The following is a 9446-nucleotide window of genomic DNA, read 5'->3' as shown; positions in this document are numbered from 1 at the left end:
ATAACATTTACTCATCCTCTGTACCCTGTGGAGATGAACTTTTATAATTACCTAAACCTAGAAATTAATTCTAGAATCAATCTGGGAACTTTTTAGTTTTTTGGGGAAACTTCTTTGTCATTGAATTTATATGCACAAAGTGGACTAAATTATTATCTTATAAATCTGTTTCGTGACTGTGGTTATTTCTCATTTTTTTTCTTTCACTATACTTGCCTAGGTAACTAACGCATGGATTATACATTTTAATGTGTGTTCATTTTTCAAAGAGCCAGCTTTTAATGTATGTATTAGCTCCATTACTTTTCTGTTTCTGATTCATTGATTGGATTTTATTTATAGAATTTGCTTTCTTCTACTTTCTTTAAGAGTAATTTGAAGTTCCTTTCTAAATTCTTATTTTTCTTTTTTTTCCTGTTTAGTAATTTTTGTTTTAAACTATGAATTTTCTTCTGACTTGTGGTTATATTAAAATTTTATTTATCATTAGTTTTTAGGGATTTTGCAGTGTTGGATTTAATTTCCATGTTGGATTTCTCATGAGTTAAGAGATATTCTAAAATTTTCATGTGGCAAAGATTTATTTTCCTATTTTTGTTATTAATTTCTAATTTTAATGCATTATGATCAAAGAATATGATCTATACTATTCCTATGTTTTGAAACTGAGGTTTCCTATGTGGCCTGCTGTGGATTGAATTGTAAAATATGTTACAGTTCTAATCCCTTGGTACCTGTGAATATGACCTTATTTGGAAATAAGGTCTTTGCATATATAATCAAGTAAAGATGATGTCATAAGTCAAAAAGTAACTGAGACAGGTCTCAATCAATTTTGAAGTTTATTTTGCCAAGGTTAAGGATTATGACCTATTAGGAGGTCCTAGGAACATTGGCCGAAGGTGGTTGGGTTACATCTTGGTTTTATGTGTTTTAGGGAACATAAGACATCAATCAATATGTATGAAATATACATTGGTTTAATAAGGAAAGGCAGGACAACTTGAAGTGGCAGGGCTTACTGGTCGTAGGTGGATTCAAAGATTTTCTGATTAGCAATTGGTTGAAAGGGTGAAGCTGTGCCTGAAGAGTTGAAACTAGCCTGAGTTAAGGCAAGTTGGGAGGGCTAGAGAAGCCTAGGTTCTTGTTATGTAGATGAAGCCTCTGGGTAGCAGGCTTCAGAGAGAATAGATGTGAACATCTCTTATCAAAGGTGTCAGGCTCTCTGGAGAGACCTAGTAAAGGAAGGAGAATCTCTATAGAGTGTAAAACTTCCTCCACAAGAGACAGGTTTGCAGTGCTATTTCAAAATATGTTTTTTCTTTCAGGACTTTGCTGTCATGTAATGCTGTACTAGAGACAGGTTAGAATTTGGTATCTTATGGCTATAAAGAGTCTGTTCTGTCAGTCTTAGGATCTCTGTTATAATGTTAATGCTGGTCAATTTTGTGCCTGAATTCCAAAAAGAGGAGAGTATAATGAGTCATGTTCAACATCCCCTGCCCCACTCCACCATCCCATCATGATCCAAACTAGATTTTCAGGTTTCTTTGGATCCCCTTGGTTGAGACGAGGGTCCATTCAGTCTGTGCGTGGGGTTAGAATTTTATTTTTGGAACACAATATCATACTGCCATACTGGATTGGATTTAATAACTAGTCTAATCCAATAACTGGTGTTCTTTTAAGAAAAGGGAAACTTGGACACAGAGATACACACAGCAAACACTATGTGACAATAGAGACAGAGATTCTAGTGATGTATCCACAAACCGAGGAAGGCCCAGGATTCCTGGCAATCACCGGAAGCCAGGAAGAGGCAAGGAAGGGTCCTCCTCTAGAGCCTTCAGAGAGAGCACGGCCCTGCTGACACTGAGAGAATAAATTTCTATTGGTTGAAGCCACATAGCTTGTGATTCTTTGTTATGACAGCCCTAGGCAACTAATATGTAGCCTAATAAGACATGGCCAAACTTTGTAGATGAAAGGAGCTTGAAAGGGAGGTATATATTTTTCCATGTGAGGATCTACCTTCTTAATTATGTTAAGTCCTCTATGTCTTTTCTTATTTTTGGTTTATTTGAGTTATCAAAGACAGAGAGATAAATTAAACTTATTTATGGCTACTGTCTCTCTATTTTTCCTTATATTTTAATAATTTTTGCTTTAAGAATGTAGATGTGATGCTATTTGATGTAGATGCATTAGGCTCAGAATTTCATTGTGGGTTGCATTTACTTATTATTACCATAAAGTTCTATTCCTCGAATTCAACCATGCCTAACATTAATATCCTTAATATCCTGACCCCTGCTTTACTTTTATTTTCATTTGCTTACTGTATTTTCCCATCCTAAAAGGATGGAAATGATACTTCCAATTTTTTGAGTAACTTTTCTTACATATTATATCACTTTTTTGAGTTTAGACTTCTTAAAATCCAATTAGAGTCCTTTAAAGAAGTGAATGTGTCTGACTTTTATTTATCTGACATACATGTTTGGTTTCTCTTATATCATCTTAAATTGTTTTATTACAGTAGTCACCCCTTTTCCACAGGGGATACATTCCAGGATCCCCAATGGATGTCTGAAACTGCTTATAATACTGAACTCTATATATACTGTACTATCGTTTCTCCTATACAATCACATTGTAGAGGGTGGGTAGCGTATCAAACATGACTATGCTGGACAAAGGGATGATTCATGTTCCAGGCAAGATAGAGCAGGATGAAGCAGGATGGTATAAGATTTCATCACACTACTCAGAATGGTGTTCAATTGAAAACTTAGGAATTACTTATTTCTGGAATTTTCCATTTAATATTTTTGGACCTAGGTTGACCCAGTAGGTGAAACCTTGGAAAATAAAGCCATGGATAAGGGGGGACTGCTGTATATGTTTTCTTTTGAAATATTTTGCTCTGTTGGTGTTTTCTCTATTTTCTTTTGTGTGTTTTCTCATAGCGAGGAAGTTTTACAGCCTACTTTTAGTTATTTGTGCATAGGCATTCTCTGTGGTTTGTGTACATGCCTTGGTGTGTGTAGGTAGTAAGGTGAAAGAGCCTGTGTGAAAGAATAAAGATGTAAGAGAATTTGATGTGCTCCAGGAATGGCAAAAAGATCTCGATAACTAGAGCACAGGCTGTGTCATGGTACATTAGCCTGGAGAGCTAGGCAGAAGGCAGGCCATTGTGAATCTCCTTAGATGTTTGAGAACCACTGAAAGATTCTGAGCAGGTGTGAAACAAAAACAAACCAGTGAGCAAACTCTCTGGCAGCCAAATGGAAGATGGTTGAGGCTAGGGTGAGAGGAGTGACTAGAAGCAGGTCAACAAATTAGATCTCCATCATATTATCTCAGGTGAGAGGTAATGAGAGCTTGTGTGAAGCCTATGATAGCACAGGTTGAGAGAAAAGAGTATGTAACAGGTACAAAAGATTGTAGGTTGATTATACACGGAGGTTGGGTAGAGAAAGGGACTATCTAAGGTAACTCCAGGTTCATGGACATGTAAGTGGACTATAGTTCTATTCATTGGGATAAGGACCTAGAAGGATGGGCAAGTTTAAAGAAAACATGCTGAGTTCAGGTCTGAACAGGATGAATTACAATCACCTGTGGGATACCCAGTACTAGCTAATTGGCAGTGGAAATCAAGGCTGGAATATAAAGCTGGGAACCCTTTGGGTATGAGTGGCAGCTGAAGCCATGGTTTGGGATAAAGCTACAAGAGAAAGTAGCTGTGCTCAAGTAGTAGCTTAGCTGTGCTCTCCAATACAGCAGCCACTAGTTGCATGTGGCTATTCCAATTTAACCATGAGTTAATTAAACTGAAATAAAATTAAAAATTCAGCTCCTCAGCTGCACAAGCCACATTTCAAGAGCTCAAAGACTGCATATGGCTTGCAGCTACCATATGGGACAGCACAGATTATAGAACATCATCAAAGAAAGTCCTATTGGACAGCTCTGGTACAGAGTGAAAAGGGAGAGGTTCAACATATATCAGGACCCTGTTGTTATTGATAACTAGGTGTTTATTAAAAAAGAAGAGTCCAATGAAACAGGCAGAGAAGGAGTGTCCATCCATTGAATGTCTTTGAATGGGCTGAGCATGAGATGCTTTTCTTGCATTATCCCTAATCCCCAAACTGCCCTATAATGTTGGTAATATTAATTATTTTTATTGAAAGTTGTCAAGATTAATGCCTCAAGATCCCAGACTAGTAAGTAGCAGAGCTGGAATTGTAACCCAAATGCATGTAGTATCCTAAATTCAGTAACATTTCAATTGCCCCAGGTTGCCTGTCCTGAGAAAACTCAAAGACAATGGTGCCAAGGAAGAACAGAATTTCATAAATGAAGAATGACAGATGGCACTAAGAGTTCAAGTAAGGTAAGATCAGAAAAGTTTTCATTGGATTATACTACAAGAAGATTGTCACAGACTTTTTTGAGGACCATTTCAATGTAGTGTAAGGGCTGAAGCTCTGTTAGAGTAGACTAAGTCTAGCTGTATAGCTACGTGGAGCATAGGCCGGTATAGCCTGTACTTTTAAGAGATTAGATGTAGGTGATTGTTTTTGCATACAAAAGATACTTCACCAAAAACACATTTCAAGTTTTTGCAAATTTTATGTATTAAATGCTCTAAGGCTGCATTTCTCATCTTTGGTATACTCAGATGAGATTGGACAAGCTACTTCTAACAGTTACTAGTTGTTTGGCCTTGGTCTAGTCACTAAACTCTCCAAAATTTTTTTCCTATCTGGGCAAGGGGTTAGCAATACATGCCTACCTTACCTTAAAGGGATGTTTGAGCATTAAATGAAACAGTGAGTTTGACGATGAGCTGTACAGTGATTTATGATATAATATGCTATTCCCAACAGATCAGACCACAATATTAAAACTCCGCAGATTTAACCACAAAGTTTATGCATCAATTGGACTTTTCATTTCATGTTATCAGCTCTACTTCTCTGAAGAATAGAAAAAAATGTATGAGCTTTTGTTGAATTTCCCCAACAAATCTTTACAGCTTGACACTTGACTTTTTGAAACAGAGGCTCGTGGGTTCCTGTGGGTGGTTCTGACTTAATCTTTGTTCCTTGACTGATTCCACCAAAACTAGAAGAAGGAGAAGAAATTACTTTTCCCATCTCCAAAATATTTAATAGAAATGGTTCAGACTTCTAGCCAAGAAAAGTCAGTTTATAAGATGCATATTCCTAATTATTTTGGTAAATAGATGAGTGCCTAGAGCAAGAACCTAATAAGTTTGTGGAAAAACTTAACATTAGTTCTCAAAAAAAAAGATCACATTGATTACACCAAATGGAGAATGCTCAGAATTCTGTTTGCCTCTGAGCTCCACTGATGACTGGACCGCAGAGTGTTGCTTGGAACCACTGTGGTTTGGTTAAAATGAGGATAAACATGAGAGATGCATATTTGTTACCAGACCAGGGGAAACCTAAGAAGACTTTACAGATGTCTCTTTGGACCTGAACTCAGCAGCTAACATCATTTCTCGCTGACGGAAATATTGCTAACTTCAACTCCCAGGTTACGAACACTAAATTTTTACATACTCTGGTGATATCTTCAGCAGCTCTAAGGAGAACCCTTGATATTTTAGCTCAGAATAAATCAGAGGAGGAGTATAAACTATTTGTCAGTAAAATATTTGTTAGCATCCTCTGAAACTTTTCTAATTAGCCTCAAAGCACATCGAACCCACAACAAGTTTACTGGAAATGTCAGTTATTAAAAAGACATTTTACCGTAATTGAATGCTAGTGTCACATAATTCAGACCACAGCCCCTGGCAGCCCAAAGAAAGAGTTGCTTGTAGCAAACTGTGCACTGACAGGAAGCAAACTTCTCAGCTGGGTCCCACCACAGCACTTTGGCCTTCAGTTGCAAGAGGGAAAAATTACCAACCACTACCCCAGCTATCACCACTGAGTTGCTGTCATTGAAATAATATGAGGCCAGGTAAAATAAGAAGAAAATCAAAGTCCCAGTGAGACTTTTAAAACCTCATTAAAAACATTTTTGGTGAGGGTTGAGGCTTATCATATCACTGATAAATGGTCAAAATAAGGTGGAGAAGGGAAATCCCTGATCCCAGTTGTTGAGGGTTAGGCCATTGATCTGGACTCATTTTCTGACATCTTTGCAGAAATAATATGAAACTCCTCTGTTTTTCAAGTACCATCTAAGAACCAAAATTCCATGTCAGGTGAGTTTTAGTATCATGATTCCCAGACAAATAGGAGAAATTGTCATTGTCCAGGCTCAGGATAGAACACCACCATTGTATTAACAGAACGCTGGCTGCAATTCTCCCTCAGCTGCTGTATATCCCTAGTCCTAGTGACCATTCTGATTTATGAAGTGATGCTAAATTCACCCTTGTGGCACTGAGGTTTCTTCCCTTCTGTTGAGGGCTTATCATCCTATCTGTGCTCAGCCCCGTTTCTGGCTTCCTCAGGATCCTCCATGGATCATTCTCCTGACCCTCCACACATGCTCCAGGCTCCTTTATCTTAACACAAACAGAGAAAAAGCAAACAAATAAATGGTTCTCCACTCAGCACCACTTACTTAAAATTTTTATCTTCTTTCCTTTATAGCTATAAATATTTGGTTAATTGATAGCATCCTAAATGTCAAGCCCAGTGACATCATTATCTAAGGAGTGAAAATGTTTCTACTTCACTAACCAGACCCAATATTCACTGTGTCTGATGTGAGCCATAGATGCTGTCAGTCTTTGAGTCAGGGGTTTACCTAGCTTGCTCTTAAGTGGGTCCAGAATGCAGACTTAAGCTTCTTCCTCGATCCTGGTCTGCTTGTCTCCCTGTCTGGTGGCTCAGGGCCCTTTGCTATGACTGGCAGTCCACCAACCATAAATCTCTAAAAAGACCAGAACTCTAGGGCCATCATTAGTTCTTGTGAGCCCTCCTTCCCTAGTTATGGATTCAGGTTTACCTCTGGTGGGAATTCTTGTTATGTATGGTCAGATTTCCCGGGCAGACCATTGTCTGACCAACTCTTACACATCATACATAGTGTCATTCCATGTGATGTGTCACCTGCATTGTATCATCAAGATAAAGAGTAAATACTATGTTCCTAAGGTGAAACTAAAAATAAAACAGTGTTAGGACTTCACTGACCTTTTTATTATAAGCCAAATGCTAAGCAAGTGAATGACCAGCTTTGGCACAGACAGAAGCTACCGTCTCTTATCTACCCCTGCTGGAGTTGTCAGATCTGAAGGGTGGTGCTATTCCCATTTTAAAATAGTATTGGTACTTCAGTTTCCTATTTGGGAGCTCTATTCTGAACCCACTCATGCTTAGAATGAAGCTTGACAACCTGTCTGGCCATCCTCAGCCCCTCAACACTGGTCAGAGTACTTTTAAACCAGGCAGACCCTGGAACAGCATTCTTGACACTCACCTGGCTCTGAGCACTATGACTACCAGGTGAACCCTCTTCTCTTCTGACAAATGGATTGCTCTTGGCTTCTCTTGTATGTCAAGGTCAGCTTAAACTTCATCTGTGTTTGTCATACATGCCCCTTTGTAATTATGATTTTGGACGGCTGGCTGCTTACATGTCAGGGATCAATCATAAGCTAGCTTAGTCTGTACACCCTAGGCCCTCCTCTTCTCAGTTTCTTCTCTTCACCTCCAGTCCAGCATGGGGGAAAAGCCTACCTAGAATATCTCTATTTCCTCATCCAGATCCTGCTTAGCATTCAAAAATCCACTTTTAGGAGGGCATTTTAATAGGCAAAAAAGAGTTAAACATAGGTATGATGATGGTTATTCACTCAGAGAAGACATTCTATTATGTTTTTAATATGTTAATAATAATACTAACACAACAATAGCAATTCATGCTAGCAAATCACAAGTGCTACATGACTTACATGCACTGTCTCATTTATTCTTTACAAGAGCCTTATGCTGTGAGTATGCATGTTTTCTTTGTTTTATAGTGGAAGAGCCGGTAGACTAAGTCCCTCAGTCTAAGCCATAAGCCAGTAAGTGATGGAGTCAGGGCTTGACTCTAATTTTATTTAGATTCTGTTACCTAAATGAGCTCTTTACCTCTATGCTGTAATACTGCCCTAAATAAACAAATGGAGTAGAGCCCTAGCAAGACATGAAGTTGGCTGGTGAAACAGAACCATTTAAATCCCAGCCTGCGAAGCTCGTATTTGATCCCATAGGCAACAGGAAGTTACCACAGATTTTTGAACCTGGAGTTAATGTGGTAAAATTCACTTTAGAAAAATTGACTGGATATTCATGAGTAGGAAAGACAAGCACACGAAATCTAGAGGATGGAGACCATCTGAAAGTCTGTTACAAAAAGACACAGAGAATCATAAAGCCACATATTGAAAGACGTTAAAAGAAGCCAAATAAATGGAGAAATATACAGTGTTCTTAAATGCTTATAAACAAAAAGACTCAGTGTTTTAAAGTTGTCATTCCTTCCCTAATTAGTCTATAGAATCAATGACATTTCAATCAATAGCCCAACAGGGTTTTGTTGTTGTTGTTGTTGTTGTTTCTTTTAAAATGGATCTTGACGGACAAATTCTAAAATAAATATGACAATCTAGGGCCAAGAAAAATCAAACGCTGCTGAAGAACATCAGCTAGCTGGAGGATCTTGTCCTATAACAGATCATGACTTATAAATATATAGTAATTAAGATAGTGTGGTATCTGTGTATGGCAAAACAAAAAGGCTCATGGCAGAGAATAGAGAGTTCAGCAATAAACCTAAGCACTTATAGAAACTTGATATAGTATGGAGCTGGCATTTCAGATCATTTGAAAGAGGTGGAACTATTCAATAAACGGTGCTGGAAAAATTGCTTAAATGAGAAATTGGACTTCTAGCTCACACTATACATATAAAATTCTATTTTAGAGGAATTAAAGACTTAAATGTGAAAAACAGTGTTTTAAGCTTTCAGAAGAAAATGTAGGAGAAACTTTTATCACCTTGTGGTATGGAATAATTTATTAAATCAAATATCATATTTGTAAAACAAAGCATTACATATTAAAGAATAGAATTACATGTTCGATGATATTAAAATTATGAACTTCTATTCCTCAAAGAGTCCACAAAGAAAGTAAAAGAAGAGACTATAACTGGGCAACAGCTGCTAGCTACTGTATTACCAACAAAGTATTAACATCTCAAATACAAGTTACTAAAATTGGTAAGAAAATAACTATCCAGATAGTAAAGGGGCACAAGAGTAAAGTAGATGTTTTACAAAAGAAGATACCTATCAAAAACCTATGAATAAACCTATGAAAAAATGAGTGTTTAACCTCATCAATAATCTGAAAAAGCAAATTACAACTATAGTGAGATATTATTTTATACCTACTAAT

The sequence above is a fragment of the Homo sapiens genome, chromosome 12 (genome assembly GCF_000001405.40).
Source record: "Homo sapiens chromosome 12, GRCh38.p14 Primary Assembly".
Classification (NCBI taxonomy): domain Eukaryota; kingdom Metazoa; phylum Chordata; class Mammalia; order Primates; family Hominidae; genus Homo; species Homo sapiens.
This window is presented reverse-complemented; position numbering follows the sequence as displayed.